The 14,370-nt window shown below is 39.6% G+C and overlaps 2 annotated features.

Moving 5' to 3' along the window:
• Positions 1,632-1,832: a silencer, noted in NCBI's record as "peak2522 fragment used in MPRA reporter construct". NCBI's record gives its function as "represses an SCP1 promoter by STARR-seq MPRAs in K562 erythroleukemia cells {active_cell/tissue: K562}" and the evidence as "EXISTENCE:reporter gene assay evidence [ECO:0000049][PMID:32103011]".
• Positions 4,236-5,435: an enhancer, noted in NCBI's record as "MED14-independent group 3 enhancer chr16:20031023-20032222 (GRCh37/hg19 assembly coordinates)". NCBI's record gives its function as "activates an origin of replication core promoter dependent on BRD2, BRD4, P300/CBP and CDK7 cofactors, and independent of MED14, by STARR-seq in HCT116 cells {active_cell/tissue: HCT116}" and the evidence as "EXISTENCE:reporter gene assay evidence [ECO:0000049][PMID:35650434]".

Genomic DNA, 14,370 nt, shown 5'->3' with positions numbered 1-14,370 from the left:
CCTCAAGTGATCCACCCATCTTGGCCTCCGAAAGTGCTAGGGTTACATGCATGAGCCACCGTGCCTGGCCAGAAGTTTCTTATATTATTCCTTAGCATCTCCAATGACCAGGCTGTCACCTTGAACACCTTTAGAGATGGAGATGGAAAGAGTCAAGAGAGTAGGCACTCATTTAACAAGTCCCAGGCACTTCTCTAGTCATTTATTTATTTGACTAATACTTATTGAAATACACTATGTGTCAAGATGTATTCTAGGCATAGTGATTCATTAATGAACAAGATAGATAAGACCCCTGACCTTTTGGCACATACACTGTAATGAGAAAGACAGTACATAAGAAAGCAAATAAAATAATTTCAAGTAGTGATAAGTGCTGGAAATAAATAATTGTAAGTGACTAAGGTCAGGCAGAAATAACACTAGATAGATAAATGAGTCAAAGAAGGTCTATTTGAGAAGGTGACAACAGAACTGAAATCCACATTAAAAGCAGACAGTCATAAAAAGAGCATGCTAGGCAAAGGGGTCAGAGAGTACAAAAGCCTTGAGATTGGAATAACCTTGGGTGCTCATGGAACAATTAGAAGATTAATATTGCTGAAACCTAGTGATCCAGGGGTAGAGTGGTATGGAACAAAAGAAGGAAGGGACAGGGAGGAGCTGAATCATGTTGTGTTAGTCAGTTTTCATGCTGCCGATAAAGACATACCTGAGACTGGGCAATTTACAAAGGAAAGAAGTTTAATGGAGAACTCACAGTTCCACATAGATGGGAAAGTCTCACAATCATGGCAGAAGGCAAGGAGGAGCAAGTCACATCTTACATGGATGGTGGCAGGCAAAAAGAGAGCTTGTGCAGGTCAATTCCCGTTTTTAAAACCATCTCATGGGACCCATTCACTATCATGACAACAGCATGGGACAGATCTGCCCCCATAATTCAATTGTCTCCCACTGGGTCCCTCCCACAACACATGAGAATTATGGGAGCTACAAGATGAGATTTGAGTGGGGACACAGAGCCAAACCATATCACATGTAGAGCTTTGTGGTCCCTAAAAAGGAATTTGGTGGGAAGCCATTGAAAAGTTTGAAGTAAGAAACTGATGTGATCTTCTTATGTCACTTAATCTTCACAATTCTTGAAAGACCGTGTTGTGACCTCCATTATCCAGAGGAGAACACTGAATCTCATGGGGATTAAATTAAACATACTCAAGGTCACAGTGAGTAATTCATGAGTTGGCATTCAAGTTCAGTTCTGTCTGACTCCAAGAGCCACTTCACTTCAGGCCACTTTGACATGCTGTTGTTGACATTCCACACTCTCTCTCCTGAATTTGCAGTTTGGTCCCATTAGCCTTTTCATCATCCAAGGTTGATATTTAGGCTAAAGCCATCTTCTAGTTCAATTAATGAGGAGTCAGAAATCATCAGTGCATAATACTGTATGGTTCTATTTCATAACCCAACTAATGTGTCTGATGATATCTGGCAGAGCATTAGCCCTACAAGATGGCAGATAAAACAATACAGGGTCTACCAGCAGGGTAGGCATTTAAAAAGAGGCATAATTATTTTTAAACTTTCTTTCACAATCTTCAATAATATTTTCAACATCATTATTTTACAAATGCTTTAATACACAAGAGATTTTTAACTCTTTTTCCTTCTCCAGCTTAGGCACTAGCCCTTTAAAATAATTGCCTGTGCTTCTGTCCAAGGTGCTGAAACTATTTGGCCATGACTTTTGAACAAGAAGACTAATACCCATTTTAAGAAGATTTGCAATCCTCCCATAAAAAATAAATTGAGACAGCATTGTTTACTTTATGAAAATATTTAAAGTACAGAAGCAAGTTCCACGAGGGCCTTGCTCCTCAAATCATGGCCCACCTATCAGCAGCATCAGCATCACCTGGGAGCTTGCAAGAAATGTAGAATCACTGTGCCCACCCCAGCCTGCTGAACCAGAATCTGAATTTTAATAAGATCTCCAGGTAATTCATATTAAAGTTTGAGGAGCACTAAACTGACGCACTTTAAAACTGCAGTTTTACACCTTTGGGGAGCTTTTGAAAATCCTAATGCCTAAGATGAAATCCAGGTATCATTATTTTTTAAAGCTCCTAAAATGATTTCAATGTGAAGCCAAGATGGAGAGCCACTGATTTTTTAAAGAAAACTTCATATCCCCACCATAAACGGAAAGCCAGTATCACCTACCATAAATAGATAGAAATTGTAAAAAAAAGATTAAAGACTATCAATAATTTTCAATACATACTATTGTGTGAGCTTGATATCTACACTCTTTTAAAAGATAGGTGTTAGGCGTCTACTACTGCCATACTGAGACATTCTTTTTAATCTAATCAGAAGAACTAATAGAAAATTAGAAAGGTAAACTTTTTCACAATATGTTTTAGTGTTTTCAAAGTCAAACTTTGTGCTATCTAAGCCGACTCACACACTGAGTGTTACAAGCATTATACTTTGGGAAACACTGATCTGTTAAATAAGGAGGCTTCAGCAGCTCTTATCTGCACTTTAGACTCACCTGGAGTTTTTATTAAAACCTATATTCAAACACTATTCCCAGAAGAAGTAAGTCAGAACCTCCAGCAATGAGCCCAAGTCATCAGAATTTTTAAAAACATTCCCAGGTAATTCTGACATGCAGCCAGGATTGAGAACCACTTGGCTACTTAGTAACACTTGGTTAACTGGGAAAATACCATACAGCTCTCCCAGATAATCGTCATTTGGCCATTTCACAAATTCAGACTCTTCACAATTGCTTGAGAGTCCACAGTGTGTGCACATCTCACTGTTGAGGTCTCAGGGGGCTGATAAATCCCACCCATCTATCCCCCACTCTGGCTTTGGAACAAGTTGAGAAATAAAATGAAGAAATTGGTTGGTAGATATCAATTTTAAGCTCTATTACTGTAAGGGTGGATTGGAGAACTTCAGCCGGACCCAGGGCCAACAGATTTCCCACCCAGTGAGTTTCAGTCTTCAGCCAGACACCCATGAGATAGTCTGGGACTGCACAGAAAACAGTTATGCAGACTGTTGCAAGCAGATTTTCTGTCTCCAAATCAAGCCTTGTTGGTGAAGACAGTTAGAGATGGGCCTCTAGACCTTCCTTTGGAAGCCAGGCATGGACCACAACCCAGTTAGGGGGTCCTACAGGGAAGACGGGAGCATAGGAAGAATTCCTGCCTCCTAGGGTCAGGCTGGCCTGAGAAATAGGGAGGGAGGGAGGGAGGTTTATTCACATATATTGTGTACCTTCTCCCGATTCTACAAATCAGTCAAGACCTTCATTCTCCATTGGGAGTACAGTAAAAGAGGAAAGTTGAGAGAAGTTACCTTCCAAATGCTTCTGAAAGATTAAGAACAAGAATTCCTAATGTAGAACTACTAGAAAGAGAATATGGTTCTCTTTCTACATTCACCTCTTCATGACCTAGGGAATTTATAAAAGTGGCTCAGGGAATTCCATAACCCGCATGGAGGCAAACAGTCAGGTGTGCTGTACAACTAAAATACTTAAAGAAGCAAGGCAAGAAAAGATCCTCCTGGTCCTCTCAGCACCTCACTGTCCTTAAAGCAGGGGTGTTGGGTGCCTGTAAAAGCCTATTCCTATCTTCAGGGTCAGAGATTTTCAGTCCCACCCTACCCATCTCCCCCAGCTGTCACACAGTTCTCTAAAGGCTCTGAAATAAAAAATAATAATAATAATTGTAATTGACTCAATACGGACACCAAATAGCACTTCTAAAAGTGAAAAAATTGGTGCCAAAATCAAAGTAGTTACACATTCAAAGCATTGCAGCTCCTGAAACCAGGCTCCTGATGTGAAAAGGATGTGGGTCATGCAGGTCTGAGTTCAAATCCTGATGCCACCACTTTTCACCTGAGTGATGTTGGACAAGTCACTTCCAGTCTCTGAGCTACTACTATTGCATCATCTGTAAAATGGAGATAACAATAGTACCGACTTCAAAACAGGGTGGTGGGAATTATTTATAATAACTTTAAGTATCTGAAACATTATTAATAAACTCTCTTATTATTTAGTTCTCTCTAGTAGGGACAAGAAGAACTTTGCCTCTTCTGGGACTTCTCTGAGAAACTGCATCTACTTTGAGATGACAAGGCCACTCCCAGAAAGAAAGAGCTTAGCAATGTCATGCTCCCAGCTGTCCCTCTTTTCCAAAGTAGAGAAAGCATATCACTTATTTCAGTCATCCAGTGAGAGTCCCTGAAAAAGACAGAACATCAAGAATTTGGAAGAAAGAAGGCAGATCATCAGTCACTCCATATTCAATTTCAATACCATGAAATGTGGCTCCCTATTTTACCTTAGTTCTCTCTCTCCATTTTCATCCACTGCTAGTCTCTGGAGCTAAACTTCAGCCTTCAGGGTGATGTGATGGCAGCTGCATAAAGGCCACTTGCTCATCTCATCAGATAGAGGTAAGTGATATCCCTGGAGTCAACTAATAGCAACCTAATTCTGGGGGAGGGTTGATACAGGTGACCTGTCCTCACTATGTCAAGTGTGTCTCCCAGGCTCTGAGAGAGGCCACAAATATTCTGCAGTTGCAGACAAGGGCTTCTTGTTATTGTAAATTAATCTTGTAAATATCTGATTTCTAAGACGCTGTAAGGAAATGACCCCCTGTTGCTAAATGTGTGTGCCTCTTAGTGTATTTGATTGTCTGGGGCATGGTGATATGCTCTGACATGGCTGCCCCAGCCAGGTCTGCAAGGGAAAGGCCATCTCCATGAGGGAAAGTACAGGGTCTTTCCCAGAGAATGAGGTCATCATAGTATCTGTCATAAAGAGAAAAGGCAGGTCATCAAACAGGGAAAGGGAAATGAGCCTTGGAAAGTAGGAGAGAGGGATCTGCTTATTTTAGTTTTCCTAGGGAGGATAAGACAAAGGTGGGGCTGAAAGAAAACTGGCTGTTTTTCTTGAAACCCTACTGATGAGTCAACTTTACTTTTAATTTGACTGTCTCCTTAAGGTTCTCTTTGTTGGTTTTCTGCCATAGACCCAGAGCTTTAGTAAAGTCCTGTTTAAACATTCCATCTTGGGCCAGGTGTGGTGGCTCACATCTGTAGTCCCAGCACTTTGGGAGGCAGAGGTAGGAGGATTGCTCAAGGTCAGGAGTTGAAGACCAGCCTGGGCAACATAGCAAGACCCTGTCTCTACAAAAAGAAATTAAAATTTTAAAAAAATAGCTGGGCATGGTGGTGCATGCCTATAGTCCCAGCTACTCAAGAGGCAGAGGCAGCAGAATCTCTTGAGCCCAGGAGGTCGAGGTCACAGTGATTGCTCCACTGTCCTCCAGCCTAGGTGACTGAGCAAGATCCTGTCTCAAAAAAAAAAAAATCCATCTTGTACTGGTTGAATTGAAATATTAAATAAGAGGGTATCCCCAACCAAAGCCAAAACAACCTTGAAGTGGGAACCCCCCAAAAGGGAAAGTGAATCTAGCACAGAGTTAGACCCCACGGTCCCATCACTCTTTCCTCAAAAGATTCTATCTGTGAGCACTCTTAGATGTAATGGCTTATCTCTCTCAAAAGTGAGAGAATTATCTTGCAGAGTCTTTAAATACTTCTGAGATGGATAAGCTTTACCAAATTTATCCAGTGACTCTTGGTCATTGGATTTCAAGATTGACTAGTCATGTGTCACTTTCCTAAGTGGCTGGAGAAGACCCCAAAGAAATATCTCTCCTCCCATTGCCCTTCCCTAACTAACCACATGTGAACACATCCTTCAGAGCCAATGTCAGTTCTCTCCCAAAGCTTGTGGAACAATATTTCAGCTTACAAATACCCAAAAAAACTTAACAATGCTATGACTAATAAATGGTATTAGGAAAGAAAGTAGAAGAATAGGATGAGAACTTAAAAATTCTTCCAAGTAGCAAGACCAACCTTCGCTCATTAACATCTAATTGTTTCTTCTTTATTTCTTCTTCTACAGAACAACAAACAGTCTTGCTCTTTATTTCAGAATCCTCTTTAAACTTGCAGGGAGTTATTTTTGTTTTTTGTTTTTTGTTTTTTTGTTTGAGATGGAGACTTGCTCTGTTGCCCAGGCTGGAGTGCAGTGGCGCAATCTCGGCTCACTACAACCTCCACCTCTCAGGTTCAAGCTATTCTTGTGCCTCAGCCTCCCAAGTAGCTGGAATTACAGGTGCACACCACCACATCAGGCTAACTTTTTTTAAATTATACTTTAAGTTCTAGGGTACATGTGCACAACGTGCAGGTTTGTTACATAGGTACACATGTGCCATGTGGGTTTGCTGAACCCATCAACTCATCATTTACATTAGGTGTTTCTCCTAATGCTATCCCTCCCCCTGTCCCCCACCCCATGACAGGCCCTGGGGTGTGATGTTCCATGCCCTGTGTCCAAGTGTTCTCATTGTTCAATTGCCACCTATGAGTGAGAACATGTGGTGTTTGGTTTTCTGTCCTTGTGATAGTTTGCTCAGAATGATAGTTTCCAGCTGCATCCATGTCCCTGCAAAGGACATGAACTCATCCTTTTTTATGGCTGCGTAGTATTCCATGGTGTATATGTGCCACTTTTTCTTAATCCAGTCTATCATTGATGGACATTTGGATTGGTTCCAAGCCTTTGCTATTGTGAATAGTGCCACAATAAACATACGTGTGCATGTGTCTTTGTAGTAGCATGATTTATAATCCTTTAGGTATATACCCAGTAATGGGATCACTGGGACAAATGGTATTTCTAGTTCTAGATCCTTGAGGAATCGCCACACTGTCTTCCACAATGGTTGAACTAGTTTACACTCCCACCAACAGTGTACAAGCATTCCTGTTTCTCCACATCCTCTCCAGCATCCGTTGTTTCCTGACTTTTTAATGATCGCCATTCTAACTGGCGTGAGATGGTATCTCATTGTGGTTTTGATTTGCATTTCTCTGATGACCAGTTATGATGAGCATTTTTTCATGTGTCTGTTGGCTGCATAAATGTCTTCTTTTGAGAAGTGTCTGTTCATATCCTTTGCCCACTTTTTTATGGGGTTGGTTTTTTTCTTATAAATTTATTTAAGTTCTTTGTAGATTTTGGATATTAGCCCTTTGTTAGATGGGTAGATTGAAGAAATTTTCTCCCATTCTGTAGGTTGCCTGTTCACTCTGATGCACACCAGGCTAATTTTTATATTTTTAGTAGAGACAGGGTTTTACCATGTTGGCCAGGCTGGTCTCGAACTCCAGACCTCAAGTGATCTGCACGCCTCGGCCTCCCAAAGTGCTGCAATTGCAGGTGTGAGCTACTGCATCTGGCCTAAACTTACAGGGAGTTCTTCTCTAATCTAAATGACTTCAGTAACTCTTACATTTCCTCTAGCATTTTTTTTTTCTCCAATTGTGCCTCTTTCCAAATATACTGCAAGCACCAATACTCTCTCCACAACCCACAGATAACTTTATTACTGGTACTCTGTTTCTATTATCTATTCTTCCTGAGTGAGGAAGACAATTTAATCAGGGGGAAAAATTGCAGATTAATTTAGATAATTTTAAATTAATTAAAATAAATCTAAAGCAGAGATTTTTCAGTTTCTTTTTGTTTACAGCCCACTTTGAAATACCCAAACTTTCAGGAACATGCTTGAAGGGATTAACAGAATCAAACCAAGTCTTTAAAAGTCAATAGTAATTGCAATGTAATTGCTGCTATAAAACAGTCATATTTTGGTCCTTTTACAAAAGCATCTAGCCGGTTGTGTTGGCTCATGCCTACAATTCCAGCACTTTGGGAGGCTGAAGCAGAAACATTGCCTGAGGCCAGGAGTTTAAAACCAGCCTGGACAACATAGTGAGACCCCATCTCTACCAAAGAAAATTTTTTTTAATAGCAGAGTGTGGTGGTGCATGCCTGCAGTCCCAGCTATTCGGGAGGCTGAAGTGGGAGGATCACTTTAGCACAAGAGTGCTAGGCTGCAGTGAGTTATGATGGTGCAACTGAACTCCAGCCTGGGCAGTAGAGTGAGATTCCATCTCAAAATAAAAATTAAAACAGCATTTGCATTTATTGAACTCATTATTTAGTGGCCCTTCAGCACTAGCTGTGTTTTACTAGAAACTCACTGGCCTACCTGTGCCTTCTTACCTATTCTCAAAGTAAAATTCTTATAAAATCTGTGTTAGTGGAATTTCAACAAACCGATATTTAACTGAACCAAAGGAAGAAATAAAATGAGACACAGCAATGATAATCATAACAATATACATAGTAAGAGTCACCCTCTGCATTCTGCAACATGAGAATGAGTTTGAAATGGGACACACAAATCTACAATTGATTCAGTCTCTGTTTCCACATGCCTCTCAGAGTGTGAGCACCTCAGCTGACCTGGAGTGATCTCATGCCTGAAAACATGGGTTTTTTCATGTAATTGACCCCTAAACACAAGCCAACTACTTCAATTGGTCCTCAATTGAATAAACATTTGTTCTTGTGAAAGTTGTAAGAATCAAAATGGAGTCGTTTGTGTTTAAAAAAACAAACAAAAATCCTGACGAATAGGGCAGGGAAGGCTATGAAGAGAGGGTTCTCACGCTTGTATTCCTGACAACAAAACTGGGACAAAAGACCCCACAAAATCTGCAATCTTGCACAAACGCCATTGCAGCCTTACACAAAAAATACTTCTGTGAGGACGTCTGCCCAGCAACTGTCTGTCGAATCTCAGACCAGTATCACCCTCGTTATTGACCCTTGTAGCCAAGGATGATTATCTCAAAACAATTACATAGTTCTCCTGCAGTTTTCCTTTAAAAATCTTTGCCTTCCTTTACCTCCTTGAATACACACCTAGTTTACTGTGGCATGTGTATTCTCATGGCAATGCGCTGAATAAATATCATTTTATTTTAGAGGGCTTCTCTCTGACATTTCCATGCCAGAGGATGCTTCTGCTGTATACCACACTCTATCTCATTAATGATTTGATGGACTTTCAATGGCACTTTTTGTTATACTCAGTTCCACCTTACTTGTTAATTTTAGAACCTTATCTCTATCAAGGGAAGATTTTTAAAGTCCCTCTTAATTCATGCAGAATGTAAATCACAAACACTAATTTCTCCTTTAAAGATGGTAAACAAGTTCAAATGTTTACATGTTCCCAACATCATCATAGAGTAGGCATTGTTGATTGAGCTACTAACAGTTTTCTTGATGAAAATAGCAATTATCCTGACACTAATAGATTTCACATTTTACTTTTGTATTATGGACATTAAACACCTTTTCTCTGATTGTTTAAAAAGCTTTTCAAAGACTGTTCGGATAATTACTCCACTCAGAAAATAATGACTAGTGTGGGAAATCAATGATTTTTTTAAGTTTTACCATTTGAGGTAAATGACTCCACAGTAAACTAAGTTCTTTTTAAAGATATATTGTATTCATAACATACAAAACCTTTACCTATTTGAGAGTTTTAATACGAACAATTCACTTAATGATCTTCTGGTTGAATTTGTAATAAAGTGATTCCAGATAGTGTAAAATACAACACCATTATAAGCATTGCCTTTCTTTGTCACCAGCATGATGTTACACTATACTTCTTACTTCTTTCTTCCAGGAAGTTATGCCTGCTCCACAGTAAATCCCATGCACACTCATCTGATAGACATTGATTTTATTATTATTATTATTATTTTGAGACGGAGTCTCGCTCTGTCACCCAGGCTGGAGTGCAGTGGCACAATCTCGGCTCAGTGCAACCTCCGCCTCCTGCGTTCAAACGATTCTCCTGCCTCAGCCTCCCCAGTAGCTGGGACTACAGGTGTGTGCCACCACGCCTGGCTAATTTTTGTATTTTTAATAGAGATAGGGTTTCACCATGTTGGCCAGGCTGGTCTCAAACTCCTGACCTCAAGTGATCCACCTGCCTCGGCCTCCCAAAGTGCTGGGATTTTACAGGCATGAGCCACTGTGCCCAGCCTGATAGACGTTGATTTACAGTATGAGTCTTCAACTGTAGCTGAAATAAAATTATATTCATTGCTTCCAGTTTGAGGGAAGATCTAAGAAGTTTTCTTTGGCATACCAGCTGAAAACCACTGGGTTAGATATTGCTATACATGTCCTAGAAATAAGAAGGCATTTATGATACAAATCACTTAATGGCAAAGGGGTAAAGTTGAAAAAAGCCCTGGTTAAGAAAGAGAAAGTCCTGGGTTCTAATTGTAGCCCTGCCATTAACTGCCTGAGTGAAGTCACTAAATCCATCCTCTGTTGAGTTTCTCCATCTGTAAAATGAGGAGGTTGAATCTAGATAGATTCATGTATATGTAGGAATTTAAGATATGATCAAAATGGATTACAAATCCATGATACATTTATTTAAACATAAGAAGGAAAATATGCCAAAGGGATATTTTCCTTTGTAGAAAAGTAGAAGGGACACTGTTTATTATCTTGAGTGTAGGTATGGTAAACTGAGTCACAATCAAAATTTTTAAAAGTTTATTTGAGCAAACAGCAGTTCATGTATTGGACAACTCCAAACCAGAAGAGGTTTGGGAGCTCTGCCAAGGGAATGGAAGGGGGACTTTTTATAGGACAAACATAAAAGTAAAGCAAAGAATATTTGATTGGTTACAGTACACAGTTGTCTTATTTAGTCTATACTGTTGAAAAGTTTCTAGTTATATAATTATAAGTTTGTTGGCTGCTTCTGTTTGGTTGAGCTTCAGTTCTGTTATTCTTTAATACAGTCTTTTATAAGAAATAGCACAAGTTAAGTTTCACTTATGTTTGCAAATCAAACAAGGTTAAGGTCACTTATTGAGACCAAACTGGCTTTGTTTGCTCAGGGATTCTTCCCACTTGGTTTTCATTTTAATTTACTTTAACAATAGCTTTCCTTGGCATAACACCAAAAACCAGGGAGGAAAAGGAATGAAAAGACTTACAGACCTAATCATACAAACAGTTTAAACTCCTTCATGATAAAAGACATTGTCAATATATTTAAAGCAAGCATACTGTAAAAAACATGAACACACACACAAAATACTGAGTTCATGCCTGTATTAGCCCATTCTCATGATGCTATGGAGAAATACCCAACAGTGGGTAATTTATAAAGGAAAGAGGTTTAATTGACTCACAGTTCAGCATGGCTGGGGATACCTCAGGCAACTTACAAGCATGGTGGAAGGGGAAGTAAATACGTCCTTATTCACATGGCGGCAGCAAAAAGAAGTGCAAGCAAAAAGGGGGAAAAGCCCCTTATAAATCTACCAGATCTCATGAGAACTCACTATCACAAGAACAGCAAGAGGGAAACTGCCCCCATGATTCAATTACCTCCCACCCGGTCCCTCCCACATACGTGGGGATTATGGGAACTACAATTCAAGATGAGATTTGGGTGTGGACACAGCCAAACCTTATCCATACTCAATCTATAAAGAGTAGTTAAAAAGAAAAAAGAAAAAGAAGAACACCCCTGTAAAAATTTGCAAAGAATTTGAAGAGGCAATTTATAAAATAAGAACCACTAATGATAATAAACATCTGAAAACATATTAAAGCTTATTATTACTTCAAGAGATGCAAAGTAAAACAACATGAGGTTATTCTATCTTGCCAGATGTCACTGACACACAGTGTGAGTGAGAGTGTGGGGAAATGTGTACACTCGTACATACTACTAGTAGTAGTTTAAATTCACATAAACTTTTTAGAAGGGAAGTTAGCAATAGCTATTAATACACCTACCATTTGACTCAGCAATCCTAGTTCTAGGCATTTATCATGTTTTGAATTGTTGACAAACCATACAAATATATTTGAACAAAGGTATTGCAGCCTTGTTTGATAACAGTAAATTACTGGAACTGTTCTAAATGCTCATCAATAAGAAATGTATTAAATAAATTATTGTACCTCCGTAAAATGGAATACTATGAAGCTATTTGAAAATAATGAGTTAGATCTGTATGGACTCATGGCTAAGATATCTACCTTAGATTTTTAAGTGAAAATAGGAGGTATAGTATAATTCCATCTTGTTTTAAAAGAATTTTCACTATCTAAATTGTAAATATCTGATTTAATGAAGGTTTTTCAACGATTATTGCTATGGTTTGGATACCATGGTCAGTTGTAAGCCTCAATGTTGAAGGTGGGGCCTGGTGGGAGGTGATTGGAACTTTCACGAATGGTTTAGCACCATCCCCTTGGTGCTGTTCTCATGGGAGTGAGTGAGTGAGTTAATATGAGATCTGTTTAAGAGCATGTGGCACCTCCCCATTCTCTCTCTTCCTCCTGCTCCCTCCAGCCATGTAAGACATGCCTGCTTCCACTTCATCTTCTGCTGTGATTGTAAGTTTCCTGAGGCCTCCCCAGAAGCAGAAGCCACTGTGCTTCCTATACTGTGAACCGATTAAACCTCTTTTATTTATAAATTACCCAGTCTCAGGTATTTCTTCACAGCAGTGCAAGGATGAACTAATACAATTATACATCAATTTTATTATCAGAAAACAACATTTACACTTCATAAAATAAAACAAAAGGGTTTTCTTATAGGTGATTTATGCATAAGTATGAAAAGGAGGGTATTGAATCCTGGAATAAGTTCACATTACTCAGGAGAATACAAAATATTTTCTTCTGCAAACCTTAAGCCCAGTACTTAGTAGTTGTACTCATTAAATAGTTTGGGGATGAATAGATAAATAAATCAATGGATGGATGTATAGATGGATGGATGGATATTGAGGTCACAAAGGCAGTTTGTTGTTGTTGTTGTTTTAATTAGTGACCTAAATAATCCAAGATTGAAAGTCACTCTGAAGTAGCTGGTCCTCCAAAAATGTCAGGATTATTGGCTACCATGGATTTTGGAGTTTGGTCCTTACGCACAAACACCTGATGAGGGATCCAGATGATGTGGACAGACAAGGCTTACAAGAGCTCTGCTTAGCTTAAGACAAAACTCTCCCATACATGGGTTCCAAATAACCCCTAAGTGATGATCCCAGAACTAGCCTTCTGTGATTTATTCCTGTAGACATGAAGGAAATGAAGAAATGAATCAAGGAGACAGAAGGAGACCTTATGATATGAGAGATCATGCCTGGGGAAGCAACATTGTTTTTGGAAGATTAACTTTTCTTTTTGGTTTACACATATGCTGCTAGAGTTATAAAAGGAACTAACTGATGCCAATAGTATCCCCAAGTCCAGAAAAGGCTAAACTGTGTAACAAATATACCCCTGCCTCACCTTGCTATAAACACAGAAAGAGCTACCTTGAAAATGCTCCATTCATCCCAGTGTCTTACATTTTCCATGGCTTGCCTCCATGTATTCACGCAGGTCCCCTGTTCAATATTTCTGGGAGTCTCTGCGTGCATTTCATGCATCCTCAGCTGTCCAGCTATCATCTCCACGTGGAGTCCTCCCCATTCCTCCCCTCTTGTCCCGGGTCTTCCTTGTTGACATCTCTTGATTATGAAGAACTTCAGAGGATCTCATTGCTGCCATTCCTGACAAAAGCCACCATGAAAAGGCCACTGAGGGGCTAAAGCAGTGCCACATTCTAACCACAGGTAGAAACAGGTCCCTCTTCCAGGTCGGGTCACCTTGACACATGTTTGAAAAAAAGGGATAAATTTTATGTCTATGAATAGGCAATTCCTAGAAGAGGAAACCTGGATGGTGAATAAAAATAAAAACTATGTTCTAGTTCACTAAAAATCAGGAATGTGACTGAACATATCAGCAATTTTTACACCTATCAGATTTATAATCATTAAAAGAAACAGACAACCTCAAGTCTTGGGCAGATATGAAAAAGACAAGGGTGTTTGGTGGGAGTGAAAATGGTTATACCCACTATGAAGAGAAACTGGGAAATGTATTTTAAAATTGCCGATGCATTACCTCACAACCAAACGATTCTATTTCCAGGTGTGTCCTTTAGGAAAAAAATTCTCACACACATGCTCAAAGAGATGGGTATGACAATGTTTCTTGCATGATTGATGCATCAGCAAAAAGAAATTGGAAGCAATCTATATGTCCATCAATAGGAGAATGAATAAATAAATGGAATATGTCCAGGCATGGTGGCTCATGCCGGTAATCCTAGCACTTTGGGAGGCCAGGGCGGTGGATCACTTGAGGTCAGGAGTGCAAGACCAGCCTAGCCAATGTGGTGAAATGCCATCTCTACTAAAAGTACAAAAAAAAAAAAAAAAAAAAGTTGAAGGGTGTGGTGGCACGTGCCTGTAGTCCCAGCTATTCGGGAGGCTGAGGCAGGA

This window comes from Homo sapiens, chromosome 16 (assembly GCF_000001405.40).
Source record: "Homo sapiens chromosome 16, GRCh38.p14 Primary Assembly".
NCBI lineage: Eukaryota > Metazoa > Chordata > Mammalia > Primates > Hominidae > Homo > Homo sapiens.
This window is presented reverse-complemented; position numbering and strand designations above follow the sequence as displayed.